Raw genomic sequence first — 15,567 nt, forward strand, 5'->3', positions numbered from 1 at the left:
TTTTCTCTTATTGGACAACTTGAATCGTCATTTGCCGTTCCGATTGGTCATCCGTGATCGTCCGGATTTTTCCAATTGGCGAAGCTGCCAGGGGAATTTTTTTTTTTTTTTTTTCCCAGGTTGGTCCGCTGAGGAGGCGGGGTCGTTTCTGCGGGATTATTTTTCCGGAGCCTCTTCTGATTGGGTGGTGTGGCGCAATGCGCGCGACCCTCAAGATACCAAACTGTACGCATCTCTGACCCTTTCCTCTCCTTGCTCCTGCTGGTAAACCGAAGCCCAGGAGACTTCCAGGTTTGGGCATCTGCAGAGGGCGAGGAACTGGTCACGGCGCCGGGTGGGCTTGCAGCTGTGACGCTTATGTGGACACCTCAGTGTCGCTGGTGGTTCACCTCGGCTTCCCAGTTTATTTATTGACGTCAACAAATAAATGTTGAATAAGGAAGAAGAGTTAGAATTGCTTGAAGCCCTCTGGAGTTTTAGCACTAGTCCCGCCCACTCCCTTCTACTTCCAGGTCGGGGGGGGGCGGGTCCAATAGAAAGGCGGAAGCCAGTGTCCCAGGCGTTCTCACGCCCGCAACAATTCCTGAGTAGGGCCTTGCTTGAGTTCTTCGGAAAGTCTCATCCACCCCCACATCGCCTCTTTAGGAAGTCACTTAATGTTGGGCTTCATTATTCCCACATCCCTTTCCTTACTACTTGCCTGCACTTCTTGAGAAAAAGACTGCAGAAAGGAGAGGTGGGGCTTTCAGTAGAAACAAGCAAACCGCAGGTCCCTGTGGGGGGACTCTCCAGGAAGAAGGGTAATTTCCTGCCTCCTTAAATTGGCTGCTACTGTCAGTTATTTTGCTCCCAACCCCAGAGCTTCACTTGCTCCTTCACTTCCCAGTTCCGCAAGAACCGTGGGCGACAGTTATGGAGAAGCGTCTGCAGGAGGCTCAGCTGTACAAGGAGGAAGGGAACCAGCGCTACCGGGAAGGGAAGTACCGAGATGCTGTGAGTAGGTACCATCGAGCTCTGCTTCAGCTGCGGGGTCTGGATCCGAGTCTGCCCTCTCCGTTACCTAATCTCGGACCTCAGGGCCCGGCCCTCACGCCTGAACAAGAAAACATATTGCATACCACCCAGACAGACTGCTATAACAATCTAGCTGGTAAGAACGGGGCTAAAGGGTGGCTAGAGAGCATTAAGACAGGAACATGAACATCTGTGAACATTGGGGGAAAAAACGCTGACTTTTTTTTTTTTTTACTGTCATCCATTTATTCTGCCATGAATTGGAATAACCTGTCAATCTGTGCGGCTGTAATTAAGTTGCCATAGAGCAGGGCTTCTCAGACTTCACCTGGAGAGTCTGTTAAAACACAACCTCCTCGGCCCCATCCCCAGAGATTCGGATGGGTCTGACGTGGGGCCTATCAGTTTGCATTTCTTTATTTTTTTATTTTATTTTATTTTATTTTATTTTATTTTATTTTTTTTTGAGATGGAGTCTCGCTCTGTCTCCCAGGCTGGAGTGCACTGGCGCGGTCTGGGCTCACTGCAGCCTCCCCGTCCCGGGTTCAAGCAATTCTCCTGTCTTAGCCTGCCCAGTAGCCGGGATTACAGGCGCCCGCCAGCCACCACGCCCAGCTAATTTTTTTTTTTTTTTTTTTTTTTGAGACGGAGTTTCGCTCTTGTTGCCCAGGTTGGAGTGCAGTGGCGTGATTTCGGCTCACCGCAACCTCTGCCTCCCGAGTTCAAGCGATTCTCCTGCCTCAGCTTCCTGAGTAGCTGGGATTACAGGCATGCGCCACCATGCCCAGCTAATTTTTGTATTTTTAGTAGAGACGGGGTTTCATAATATTGGTCAGGCTGGTCTTGAACTACTGACCTCAGGTAATCCACGCGCCTCTACCTTCCAAGGTGCTGGGATTACATGCGTGAGCCACCGCACCCAGCCCCAGTTTGCATTTCTAACAGCCTTCTGGGTATTGTTGATAGCTTTAGGTAATTTTGCATGCTATAGGGAAAAACTATACTTAAGGTCAGGCCATTGTTTATTTAAGGGACATTTAATATTTGTGAAACACGTTCATTTCTTTAGCTGCTAGTTTAGATCCCTTATATTCAGTGGGTCGTATAGCTTTTCCTCATTTTTCTTTTCCTTTTTCTTTTTTTGAGAAGAGCTTCGCTCTTGTTGCCCAAGCTGGGGTGCAATGGCACGATCTCGGCTCACTGCAACCTCCTCCTCCCGGGTTCAGGCGATTCTCCTGCCTGAGCCTCTGGAATAGCTGGGATACAGGCGCGTGCCACCACGCCTGGCTAATTTTTTGTATTTTTAGTAGAAACGGGGTTTCACCATGTTAGCCAGGCTAGTCTGGATTCCTGACCTCAGGTGATTCGCCCGCCTCGGCCTCGCAAAGTGCTGGGATTACAGGCATGAGCCACTGCACCCGGCCCAGTAATTTTTATTTATTGAGTGCCTATAACATGTTGGGCAGTCATTTACAGATATCTGCCATCTTCACAAAACTGCAAGGATTATCACCATTTTACAGATAAGGAAATCAGATCCTGTCACTGCCTGAAACACCCCATTGGCATCTCATCACACTTAGAAGAAAATCCAAACTCACCTCGAGGCCCCAGCACCAACTAGCTCTTTTATTTTTTTTGAGACTGAATTTTGCTCTTGTTGCCCAGGCTGGAGTGCAATGGCACGATCTTGGCTCACTGCAACCTCCGCCTCCCGGGTTCAAGCAATTCTCCTTCCTCAGCCTCCCAAGTAGCTGGGATTAGAGGCATGTGGCACCATGCCCTGCTAATTTTGTATTTTTAGTAGAGATGGGATTTCTTCATGTTGGTCAGACTGGTCTCAAACTCCCAGCCTCAGGTGATCCGCCCACCTCGGCCTCCCAAAGTGCTGGGATTACAGGCTTGAGCCACCACGCCTGGCCTTATTTTTTATTTTATTTATTTATTTTTTTTTTTGAGACGGTGTCTCACTCTGTTGCTCAGGCTGGAGTGCAGTGGCGTGATCTCAGCTCACTGCAACCTTTGCCTTCCAGGTTCAAGCGATTCTCCTGCCTCAGCCTTCCAAGTAGCTGGGATCACAGGCACCTGCCACCATGCCTGGCTAATTTTGGTATTTTTAGTAGAGACGGGGTTTTGCCATGTTGGCCAGGCTGGTCTCGAGCTCCTGACCTCAGGTGAGCCACCCACCTCGGCCTCCCAAAGTGCTGGGATTATGGGTGTGAGCCACCATGCCCTTCCCAAACTGGCCCTTTTATACACTTAATGTCCAAAGTACATTTCCACCTTCACACTTTTGTAGGCTGTCTTTCCAGCTAGAATGCCCTGTCCCTTGAATGACACTTATCCAGATTTGGACTCAAAAGTTGCTTCCTTAGAGAAGCCTTCTGTAGCTGGTGCAGTGGCTCACAACTGTAATCCCAACACCTTGGTAGGCCGAGGAGTTCAAGACCAGCCTGGGAAATGTGGCGCAACCCGGTCTCTACAAAAAATACAAAAATTAGCCAGGCATGGTTGTGCTTGCCGGTAGTCCCAGCTATTCTGGAAACTGAGGTGGGCCAATGTCTTGAGCATGGGAGGCCGGGGCTGCAGTGAGCCAAGATTGGGCCACTGCCCTCCAGCCTGGGTGACAGAGCAAGTAAGACTCTGTCCCCCGATTCCTCCCACCAAAAAGCCTTCCAGAAGCAAACAGCACTCTGACTTCATTCATTCTCTGTCCCGACATAGTTTTATTTTTCTTAAAGCACTTTTTTTTTTTTTGAGACAGAGTCTTGCTCTGTCGCCCAGGCTGGAGTGCAGTGGCGTGATCTCACCGCAAGCTCTGCCTCCCAGGTTCATGCCGTTCTGCCCCAACCTCCCGAATAGCTGGGACTACAGGCGCCCACCACCACGCCCAGCTAATTTTTTTTTTGTATTTTTAGTAGAGACGGGGTCTCACCTTGTTAGCCAGGATGGTCTCCATCTCCTGACCTAGTGATCCTCCCGCCTTGGCCTCCCAAAGTGCTGGGATTACAGGTGTGAGCCACCGCGCCTGGTCAGCACTTTTTTTTTTTTTTTTTTTTTTTTTGAGACCAAGTCTCACTCTGTCGCCCAGGCTGGCGTCAGTGGCGCAATTCTGGCTCACTGCAAGCTCTGCCTCCTGGGTTCACACCATTCCCCTGCCTCAGTCTCCCGAGTAGCTGGGACTACAGGCGCCCGCCACCACGCCTGGCTAATTTTTTGTATTTTTAGTAGAGACGGGGTTTTACCGTGTTAGCCAGGATGGTCTCGATCTCCTGACCTCATGATCTGCCTGCCTCAGCCTCCCAAAGTGCTGGCATTACAGGCGTGAGCCACTGCGTCCAGCCTCTTAAAGCACTTTTAAAAATTAATTTACTTGGGCCGGGCATGGTGGCTCATGTCTGTAATCCCAGCACTTTGGGAGGCCGAGGTGGGCGGATCACCTGAGGTCAGGAGTTCAAGACCAGCCTGACCAACATGGAGAAACCCATCTGCACTAAAAATACAAAAAAATTAGCCAGGCGTGGTGGTGCATGCCTGTAATCGCATCTACTAGGGAGGCTGAGGCAGGAGAATTGCTTGAACCTGGGAGGCGGAGGTTGTGGTGAACCAAGATCGCGCCATTGCACACTCCAGCCTGGGCAACAAGAGCAAAACTCCGTCTCAAAAAAAAAAAAAATTAATTTACTTGGGCCAGGTGCGGTGGCTCACGCCTGTAATCCCAGCCCTTTGGGAGCCCATGACAGGCAGATCACGAGGTCAGGAGATGGAGACCATCCTGGCTGATATGGTGAAACTCCATCTCTATTAAAAATATTTTAAAAATTAGCTGGGTGTGGTGGCAGGTGCCTGTAGTCCCAGCTACTTGGGAAGCTGAGGCAAGAGAATCGCTTGAACCTGGGATGTGGAGGTTGCAGTCAGCCAAGATCGTACCAGTGCACTCCAGCCTGGGCAACAGAGGGAGACTCTGTCTAAAAACAAACAAACAAAAAATTCATTTACTTGTTTCTTCTGTATTCCTCCACTTTTTTTTTTTTTTTTTGACCACTTGGTGGGGATGTTGTAGAAGGGATACAGACATCAGCACAGGCCCTTTAATGTGCTCATCACTGCTGATTCTTGATCTTTCTCAGCACCATGATTTAATAATACTATGTTTAATTCCCACAGTTGTGAAATAGGGAGTGTTTCCCTTCTTAATCATAAAAAGGCAGAACATTGACCTGAATTGCCTGAATTGACTCCTCTGCAGGTTTGTATTTCAAGGTCCCATTAAGTCATCCAAGAGAATAGTGAAGTTATATGCTGTATTGTTACTGAGAATGATGATTTTGGAGTTAGACAACACTTCATTCAAATTTCATATTCCACCTAGAACCTGTAAGATCTTAGACAAGTTATTTGTCTGAGTCTTGATTTCTTCATCCACTAAATGAAGATAGTAACACCTATTTAATAGTGTAGATGCGAAGATTAAACAAGACAGTGTATATCAAGCACATAGCACAGCGCTTGCCATTTCCTGACAATTAATGGCAACCATTATTAACAAAGCTGCAGTACAAGAACTGTGGTGAAATGGGGGATTCAGGACATAGAGCCTCAGGTAGAAGAGATACAATGAAGGTTAGTTTGTTTTTTAAAAAATTGTAATTTATCTAATTTTTTTTTTTTAAGATGGAGTCTTGCTCCATAACCCAGGCTGGAGTGCAGTGGTACAATCTCGGCTCACTGCATATCTAATTTTATATAAAAAATTAATGGGGCCGGGCACAGTGACTCACGCCTGTAATCCCAGCACTTTGGGAGGCAGAGGCAGGTGGATCACAAGGTCAGGAGTTCGAGACCAGCTTGACCAACATGGTGAAACCCCGTCTGTACTAAAAATACAAAAATTAGCCAGGCATGGTGGTGAGCGCCTATAATCCCAGTTACTCAGGAGGCTGAGGCAGAAGAATCACTTGAACCTGGGAGGCAGAGGTTGCGATGAGCCAAGATCACGCTACTGCACTCCAGCCTGCACGACAGAGCGAGACCTCCATCTCAAAAAATAATAATAATAATGAGGGGGCTGGGCAGGGTGGTTCACGTCTATAATCCCAGTACATTGGGAGGCTGAGGCCAGCGAATCACCTGAGGTCAGGAGTTCAAGACAAGCCTGGCCAACATGGCGAAAACCCATCTCTACAAAAATACAAAAATTAGCCGGGCATGGTGATGTGTGCCTGTAATCCCAGCTACTCGGGAAGCTGAGGCAGGAGAATCACTTGAACCCAGGAGGCGGAGGTTGCCGTGAGCTGAGATCGCGCCATTGCACTCCAGCCTGGGCGACAGAGCGAGACTCCATCTCAAAAAAAAAAATAGGGTCTCACCTGGGCATAGTGGCTCATGCCTATAATCCCAGTACTTTGGGAGGCCAAGGTGGACAGATCACTTGAGGTCAGGAGTTTGAGAACAGCCTGGCCAACATGGTGAAACCCCATCTCTACTGAAAACACAAAAATTAGCTGGACATGGGTAATCCCAGCTACTCGGGAGGCTGAGGCAGAAGAATTGGTTGAACCTGGAGGTTGCAGTGAGCCAAGATCATGCCACTGCACTCCAGCCTAGCTGATGAGTGAGACTCTGTCTTAAAAAAATAATAAAAAAAGAATACATTTGTTATTCGGAATACACTTCTTATAACACTGCAGTGAATACTCTGCCAAAAAAAAGGGACAGGGGAGGGTCTCACTATGTTGCCCAGGCTGGTCTTGAACTCCTGGGCTCAAGCAAATCTCCTACCTCAGCCTCCCAAAGTGCTAGGATTACAGCATGAGCCACCATGCTCAGCCGAGTTTTAAATAAATTTTAAAGTATGTTCTTACCAGCTTTATAGCCAAGCCTAACTGGCTACTAAATATGTAGCAGAAAATCAGTAAATATTGAAGTAGATTACAAGATATATGAATTTTTTGTTTTGTTTTGAGACAAAGTTTCACTCTTGTTCCCCAGGCTAGAGTGCAATGGCACGATCTCGGCTCACCGAAACCTCCGTCTCCCAGGTCCAAGCGATTCTCTTGCCTCACCCTCCCGAGTAGCTGGGATTACAGGCATGCGCCACCACACCTGGCTAATTTTTATTTTCAGTAGAGACGGGGTTTCTCCATGTTGTCAGGCTGATCTCGAACTCCCGACCTCAGGTGATCCACCCGTCTCGGCCTCCCAAAGTGCTGGGATTACAGGCATGAGCCACTGCACCTGGCCGATATGTGAAGCTTTTATTCACTGCTGCATCCCCAGTGTGTAGAAGAGTGTCTGGCATATGGGAGACACTTTAGCATTTGTTGACTGAATGTTGTTACCACCCTGTTCAGTACTGTCTTGAGCTGGCCAGTGGAACCTGGTGTAACGAGCCCCTCCTACCTCTTCTCTCTTTTCATTTGGCCCATTAGCTTGTCTCCTTCAGATGGAGCCCGTGAACTACGAACGAGTGAGAGAATATAGTCAGAAAGTCCTGGAACGACAGCCTGATAATGCCAAGGCCTTGTATCGGGCCGGAGTGGCCTTTTTCCATCTGCAGGACTATGACCAGGCCCGCCACTACCTCCTGGCTGCCGTGAATAGGCAGCCTAAAGGTAAGCAAGAAGGGCTTTGAAATGGTAAAGACAAAATTGTCTTGCTGGGGTGGATCTGTGGAAAGGGGGTTTTATTTTACTTTGCCAATGTATTATTTTCAATAAGTAATACATTCACATGGTTGAGAATTCGAACTGAAAAAGTATACGATGAACAGACCTTTTTCCACTCTTGTGTTCTTGTCTCCACAGAAAAGCAGTATTATTAGTTTCATGTGTAGGGGGTTGATGCTTAATCAGACATACACAATATATATGTTGGTATGTCTGTTTCATATATGTATGTATGCCTATTCTAATATATAAATATATGTATATCAACGTGCTTTTATTTATAAATATACAGTGTATATATTTATACATATACATGAATATATATATAAAATAGGCAGGCCAGGTGGGGTGGCTCACATCTGTTATCTCAGCACTTTGGGAGACCAAAGTGGGTGGATCACCTGAGGTCAGGAGTTTGAGACCAGCCTGACCAACATGGAGAAACCCCATCTCTACTAAAAATACAAAATTAGCCAGGCATGGTGGCGCATGCCTGTAAACCCAGCTACTCGGGAGGCTGAGGCAGGAGAATTGCTTGAACCCAGGAGGCGGAGGTTGCGGTGAGCCGAGATCCTGGGCAACAAGAACGAGATTCTGTCTCAAAAAAAAAAAAAAAAAAAAAAAACAGTGTTGTTTTTTGGGGCTGGGTACGGTGGCTTACACTTGTAATCCCAGCACTTTGGGAGGCCAAGGCGGGCAGATCACCTGAGGTCAGGATTTCAAGACCAGCCTGGCCAACATGGCGGAACCCATCTCTACTAAAAAAAATAAAAATACAAAAATCAGCCGGGTGTGGCCGGGCGCAGTGGCTCACACCTGTAATCCCAGCACTTTGGGAGGCCGAGGTGGGCGGATTACGAGGTCAGGAGATCGAGACCATCCTGGCTAACATGGGGAAACTCCGTCTCTATTAAAAATACAAAAAATTAGCCGGACGTGGTGGTGAGGGCCTGTAGTCCCAGGTACTCAGGAGGCTGAGGTAGGAGAATGGCATGAACTTGGGAGGCGGAGCTTGCAGTGAGCTGAGATCCTGCCGGTGCATTCCAGCCTAGGGGACAGAGGGCGGCTCCGTCTCGGAAAAAAAAAAAAAAGCTGGGCGTGATGGCAGGCCCCTGTAATCCCAGCTACTTAGGAGGCTGATGCAGGGAGAATCGCTTGAACCCAGGAGGCAGAGGTTTCGGTGAGCTGAGATTGTGTCGCACTCTAGCCTGGGCGACAGAGCCAGACTCCATCCCAAAAAAAAAAAAAGCGAGTGTCGTTTTTCAAGTTCTGTTCCTGGTCTTTAAGAGTGATTGGAGGCTGGGCATGGTGGCTTATGCCTGTAATCCCAGCACTTTGGGAGGCCAAGGTGGGCGGATCATGTGAGGCCAGGAGTTCGAGACCATCCTGGCTAACATGATTAAACCCCGTTTCTAGTAAAAATACAAGAAATTAGCCGGGCGTGGTGGCGGGCGCCTGTAATCCCAGCTACTCGGGAGGCTGAGGCAGGAGAATAGTGTGAACCCGAGAGGCAGAGCTTGCAGTGAGCCAAGATCGCGCCACTGCACTCCAGCCTGGGAGACAGAGGGAGACTCCATCTCAAAAACAAAACAAAACAAAACAAAAAAACAGTGATTGGAATAGGATGTGTGAATGCCAACAAATACACTTGATAATTTTCATTCTGCCAGTTCTCCAAATGGGGTCTGGCCTTTGGTTTAGCTATCATTTTTATCCTTTAGCTCAGCTAACCCCAGGTATGACCTAGAAAAAGGGCAGTCCTGCTGAGAGAGAATTTGGGACTTACTTTGTTTCCAAGGCAAAAAGGATATTGTGAAGCAGATGAGAGACTCATTCCTGTGTTGGTTGGTTGAGCACTGAAAATTGTCTCCCTTTTGCATTCTGGCTTACAATAGCCACTGGATACTAGTAGCAGAGTCACCAAATGTATAGCAGTGCAGTAAAATCTCATCTAAATGAATGAGAAAGCCATTATGAATTAATAAAGATATAAAATATAAGCCATTTGTTCATGTTTCTCAGCATCCAATACATAAATTAACTGCCACCTATATGAATAGTATCTTTAGAGGCTCTATTTTAATGATAACTGCTTCATCAATCTTGCTTTCATTATGAAATTAGCAACCAGTGTCCAGGCATGGTGGCTCACACCTGTAATCCCAGCACTTTGGGAGGCCAAGGCGGGTGGATCACGAGGTCAGGAGTTCCAGACCAGCTTGGCCAACATGGTGAAACCCCATCTCTACTAAAAATACAAAAATTAACCAAGCATGGTGGTGCATGCCTGTAATCTCAGCTACTTGGGAGGCTGAGGCATGAGAATTGCTTGAACCCGGGAGGCGGAGGTTGCAGTAAGTGGAGATCCCATGCTATTGCACTCTAGCCTGGGTGACAGAGCGAGACCCTGTCTCAAAAGTAAGTAAATAAATAAAATAAATAAATAAATAAATAAATAAAAATTAGCAGCCGGGACAGAGATTGTTTTTTTTCAATTCCAAATGTTATTAATTAATGAGATTTACTATTGCATAGAATGGTTGCGATATATTCAGATCTTGGAGAGATTTTAAAATGGGAGCATGTTAACATTCTCTCCTGCCACAAGGTATGATTATGGTCTTAACTGACTCTAACTGTTTCTAATTGCTTCTCCATCATCTTCCAAGATGCCAACGTCCGGCGGTACCTCCAGCTGACACAGTCAGAACTCAGCAGCTACCATAGAAAAGAGAAGCAGCTCTACCTGGGCATGTTTGGTTAACAAAGAAGAAAGATGCTCCTCCAGTTGAACTTAGGTGGACCATTAAACATGCATGAAGGAGAAATCTGAGCCTCAGCAAGAGAAATTAACCCTATACCTCTGACCCAGGTGGATTTTTGTTTCTAGTTCTGCACAAACTTCACTACTTAGACAGTCTGAGTCTTTTTCTGTCTATCCATCTGTTTATTTCTATACCTTTCAATACATGTTATTGTTGCAGATATTTGGCTTGAGAAATATAATCAGAAAACATACATCAGTTGTGGGTGGAATTAATCATATCTCTGGTATAGATTTTTCATGACAGTGTTGTTAGATGTACTTATATACAGAGGCGACAGCTTGCAGAGGACGACATAGTAAGGATAGGCAGAAAGAATTGTCTTCCTTTATTTTTTCAGAAGCCCAAACCAAAGTGGGAAATATGGCCGGGCGCTCTAGCTCATGCCTGTAATCCCAGCACATTGGGAGGCTGAGGCCAGCGGATCACCTGAGGTCAGGAGTTCAAGACCAGCCTGACCAACAGGGTAAAACCCTGTCTCTACTAAAAATACAAAAATTAGCCTGGCAAGATGACACACGCCTGTGGTCTCAGGTACTGGAAACTAGACAATTATAAATGAGCCAGGCTGGGCATGGTGGCTCACGCCTGTAATCCCAGCACTTTGGAAGGCAGAGGTAGACAGATAGATAGCTTGAGTCCAGGAGTTCAAGACCAGCCTGGGGAACACAGTGAAACCCTGTCTCTATAAAAGATGCAAAGATGGCCGGGCACGGTGGGTCAGGCCTGTAATCCCAGCACTTTGGGAGGCCGAGGCAGGTAGATCATGAGGTCAGGAGATTGAGACCATCCTGGCTAACACAGTGAAACCCCGTCTCTACTAAAAATACAAAAAATTAGCCGGGCGTGGTGGTGGGCGCCTGTAGTCCCAGCTACTCGGGAGGCTGAGGCAGGAGAATGGCATGAACCCGGGAGGTGGAGCTTGCAGTGAGCAGAGATCACGCCACTGCACTCCAGCCTGGGCAACAGAGCGAGACTCCGTCTCAAAAAAAAAAAAAAATGCAAAGATTAGCTGGGCCAGGTGTTCACCTGTAGTCCCAGCTATTCTGGAGGCTAAGGTGGGAGGATTGCTTGAATCTGGAGGGCAGCGGTTGCAGTGAGCCAAGATCCTGACACAGCACTCCAGCCTGGGTGACAGAGTGACGTGTCTCAATAAATAAATAAGCCCAAATATACTAAAGTAACTTTTTGTTTTTTGAGACAGAGTCTCACTCTGTTGCCCAGTCTGGAGTGCAGTGGTGCCATCTTGGCTCACTGCAACCTCTGCCTCCCAGGTTCAAGTGATTCTCGTGTCTGAGCCACCCAAGCAGCTGGGATTACAGGCATGTGCCACCACGCCCGGCTAATTTTTTTGTATTTCCTTTTTAGTAGAGACATGGTTTTGCCATGTTGGCCAGGGTGCTCTTGAACTCCTGGCCTCAAGTGATCCACCCACTCGGGCTCCCAAAGTGCTGGGATTACAGGTGTGAGCCACTATGCCTGGCCAAAAGTAACCATTTTGTTTAATTTTTTCTTTTTCTTTTAATTTTAAGTTCCAGGATCCATGTGCAGGATATGCAGGTTTGTTACATAGGGAAACGTGTGCCTCGGTGGTTTGCTGCACCTATCAACACATCACCTCGGTATTAAGTCCAGCATGTATTAGCTATTTTTCCTCATGTTCTCCCACCCCCCGCCACAGCCCCTGTTAAATTAATTTCTTATTCTCCTTAATATTCCATACACATTCAGATTCCTTCTCCCCTACAAAAATATTTGCTATTTTGTCCTTGCTATTTCTCATACTTAGATCATTCATACACTATATTTATTTTTTCATTAAACTATTTTAAAACCTTTGGAGTAAAGCATTTAAGTATTTATTTAATAAACCCTTCAGACCTCATGCTAAAGAAAACACCTAAGTGAACATTTTAAATTTTAATAGGTGCTTATCTATAGTATCCTCATTTCTCTTAAAAAAAAAAAAAAAAAAAAAAAAAAAAAAAAAGACCATCCTGGCTAACACGGTGAAACTCCGTCTCTACTAAAAATACAAAAAAAAAAAATTAGCTGGGCTTGGTAGCGTGTGCCTGTAGTCCCAGCTACTCGGGAGGCTGAGGCAGGAGAATGGCGTGAACTCAGGAGGTGGAGCTTGCAGTGAGCCGAGATCACGCCACTGCACTCCAGCCTGGGTGACAGAGAGAGACTCCATCTCAAAAAAAAGAAAAGATTATCACATCTTCTAAAAACATACATACTAGCCGGGTACGGTGGCTCATGCCTGTAATCCCAACACATTGGGAGTCTGAGGCGGGTGGATCACTTGAGGTCCGGAGTTCAAGACCAGCCTGGCCAACATGGCGAAACCCCATCTCTACTAAACTGCTGGGGAGGCTGAGGCGGGAGGATCACTTGAACCTAGAAGCCGGAGGTTGCGGTGATCTGAGATTGCGCCACTGCACTCCAGCCTGCGGCAGTGAGACTGTCTCAAAAAAAAAAAAAAGAAACATACATAATAGAGCAGAATAAAAACAAACCTGTCCTTTACCTGTCATCTCATATTTTGCAAGGGCTGAGGTCCTCACAGAGAAGAGAAATAGGCTGGGCGCTGTGGCTCATGCTTGTAATCCCAGCACTTTGGGAGGCTGGATCACCTGAGGTCAGGAGTTTGAGACCAGCCTGGTCAACATGGTGAAACCCCATCTCTACTAAAAATAGAAAAAAATAACCAGGTGTGGTGGTGTGCACTCTGTAACCCCAGCTACTCAGGAGGCTGAGACAGGAGAATCGCTTGAAACGCAGGAGGCGGAGGTTGCAGTAAGCAGAGATTGCATGCCACTGCACTCCAGCCTGGGCAACAAGAGTGAAACTCCATCTCAAAAAACAAAACAAAAAAAAAATGAGGAAGGGCATTTCTTGCTTAGTGCCTTTTAAACACCTGATAGAACTCTCTGGAAGCTGTGTTGGACATGGGTGCAAGTTGCAGTATGGTGCAGTCCTGGCTCAGTAGGAGGTTCCATCAACCAGGAGCCCCTTTGTTATTCTGTTTCTGTTTTTTCATGGTGGATAATGTCTATGATGTTGTGGGTACTACATAGGTGAGACTATATAGCACAGCCTCTACCTTTATAAGTGGTGGCAATAAGCATGTGATTAACTGTCATACAACCACAGAGCAAACAGATTTCAGGGAAAAAAAAACACACTTTAGTCCTTTATCAATAACGCCCCCTTTCTCAATGGGCTAGACTCCTCTTTGTTCTTCCCTATACCTTTAAAGAATACAACTATCAGCTTACAAGAAAAACTTTTCCTAAGTCCAAGGACAGGAGAGGCGCAGTGGCTCACCCCTGCAATTCCAGCAATTTGGGAGGCCAAGGTGGGTGGATCACCTGAGGTCAGGAGTTCGAGACCAGCCTGACTGACATAATGAAACCCCATCGCTACTAAAAAAAATACAAAATTAGCCAGGTGTAGTGGCACGTGCCTGTAATCCCAGCTACTCAGGAGGCTGAGGCAGGAGAATTGTTTGAGCCCAGGAGGTGGAGGATGCAGTGAGCCAAGGTCATGCCATTACACGCCAGCCTGGTCAACCAGAGCAAAACCGTCTCAATCAATCAATCAATCAATCAAGTCCAAGGACAGAACAAACAAAAGTAAAATACCTTATTCCTCTTCTAAGCTTCTTAAATTGCTAGGCCTTGGTTTATTGACAAAATATTGTCATGATTGCATGTTTTATTTGCTTTACAATGGTTTCGTGGTCTTATTTTATTTCAAACACTTGATGTTATAGTAAGCTATCTTCTGCATCAATGAGGAAAAAATAAAACTGATATTTAAAAATGCATTTTAGAAATTTGGTGCAGTGGCCAGGCGCGGTGGCTCACGCCTGTAATCCCAGCACTTTGGGAGGCTGAGGCGGGTGGATCACAAGGTCAGGAGATCGAGACCATCCTAGCTAACACAGTGAAACCCCATCTCTGCTAAAAATACAAAAAATTAGCCGGGCGTGGTGGCGGGCACCTGTAGTCCCAGCTACTCGGGAGGCTGAGGCAGGAGAATGGCATGAACCCGGGAGGCAGAGCTTGCAGTGAGCCGAGATTGCGCCACTGCACTCCAGCCTGGGCGACATAGCAAGACTCTGTCTCAAAAAAAAAAAAAAAATTGTTGCACTAATCCTTTTATTAGCGCTGCTAAGAGATAGCACAGGGTCAGGCTTACATTTGTGTTTTATTGAGAAGCCCAGCTCCTAATGGAAATCTTAATGAACAGGGAAATGACAAAGGCAGTCTGATGCAGGTCTTGAGGACGTCCTCAAGGTCCTGAGGGAACCAGCCAGAGAGTGCCTCAACCTCTGTATTCAGAAGTTTGTGGAAGGAGAGGCTGCGCACTTTATCAGTCCTTGTTTCCACAGAGGATTTGAATATTTTGAATGAAGAAAAAGCATTCATGGTGAATGTGAAGGATTATATACCTTGGCACATGAGGGACACTGTTTCCCAAACTCATACCCACCACCTTCACAATGTTGCCAAAACCACTCACTACCTGTACTAATATATATGGATGTGTGTAGAAATATATGTGTGTGTGTATATATATATATATAGACAGTCTGGCTCTGCTGCCCAGGCTGCAGTGCAGTGGCACAATCTTGGCTCACTGCAACTTCCACATCCCAGGTTCAAGCAATTCTGCCTCAGCCTTCCAAGTAGCATGCACCACCATGCCTGGCTAAATTCTTTTTGTATTTTTAGTAGATACGGGGTTTCACCATGTTGGTCAGGCTGGTTTCAAACTCCTGACTTCAGGTGATCCACCCACCTCGGCCTCCTAAAGTTCTGGGATTATAGGCGTGAGCCATGGAGCCCAGTGTATTTTTTTTTTTTTTTTTTTTTTTGAGACGGAGTCTCACTCTGTTGCCAGGCTAGAGTGCAGTGGTGCGATCTCGGCTCATTGCAACCTCTGCCTCCTGGGTTCAAGCGATTCTGCTGTGTCAGCCTCCCAAGTAGCTGGGACTACAGGCACCCACCACCATGTCCAGCTAATTTTTGTCTTTAGTAGAGAAGGGGTTT

The 15,567-nt window shown here is 46.7% G+C and overlaps 1 protein-coding gene across 7 annotated transcripts, besides 2 other annotated features; it reads left to right on the forward strand.

The window, feature by feature from the left end:
• Positions 113-10,700, forward strand: TTC9C (tetratricopeptide repeat domain 9C). 7 transcript variants are annotated; one of them, NM_001318814.2, is made up of 5 exons: positions 550-800; positions 887-1,150; positions 5,182-5,263; positions 7,446-7,628; positions 10,352-10,700. In NM_001318814.2, exons 4-5 carry the CDS (start codon positions 7,460-7,462, stop codon positions 10,444-10,446), a joined length of 264 nt encoding a protein of 87 aa, NP_001305743.1. In that variant the 5' UTR covers positions 550-800; positions 887-1,150; positions 5,182-5,263; positions 7,446-7,459; the 3' UTR covers positions 10,447-10,700. The 7 variants fall into 7 exon arrangements, with proteins under 7 accessions (XP_047282783.1, NP_001305741.1, NP_001305743.1 ...); XM_047426827.1 differs by lacking the exons at positions 550-800; positions 5,182-5,263 and adding an exon at positions 113-225; NM_001318812.2 differs by lacking the exons at positions 550-800; positions 5,182-5,263 and adding an exon at positions 241-291.
• Positions 232-431: an enhancer, noted in NCBI's record as "active region_4842". NCBI's record gives its function as "activates an Ori minimal core promoter by ATAC-STARR-seq in GM12878 lymphoblastoid cells {active_cell/tissue: GM12878}" and the evidence as "EXISTENCE:reporter gene assay evidence [ECO:0000049][PMID:35858748]".
• Positions 822-931: an enhancer, noted in NCBI's record as "active region_4843". NCBI's record gives its function as "activates an Ori minimal core promoter by ATAC-STARR-seq in GM12878 lymphoblastoid cells {active_cell/tissue: GM12878}" and the evidence as "EXISTENCE:reporter gene assay evidence [ECO:0000049][PMID:35858748]".
• Positions 10,701-15,567: the final 4,867 nt, after the last annotated feature.

The sequence above is a fragment of the Homo sapiens genome, chromosome 11 (assembly GCF_000001405.40).
Source record: "Homo sapiens chromosome 11, GRCh38.p14 Primary Assembly".
Lineage (NCBI taxonomy): Eukaryota > Metazoa > Chordata > Mammalia > Primates > Hominidae > Homo > Homo sapiens.

Bases quoted from the DNA above. Each gene is read 5' to 3' on its own strand.
- TTC9C (XM_047426827.1), top strand. From the start codon at position 198: ATGCGCGCGACCCTCAAGATACCAAACT. The intron at 226-886 runs GTACGCATCTCT...TTCACTTCCCAG, and splicing joins GACCCTCAAGATACCAAACT to TTCCGCAAGAACCGTGGGCG. The intron at 1,151-7,445 runs GTAAGAACGGGG...TTGGCCCATTAG, and splicing joins CTGCTATAACAATCTAGCTG to CTTGTCTCCTTCAGATGGAG.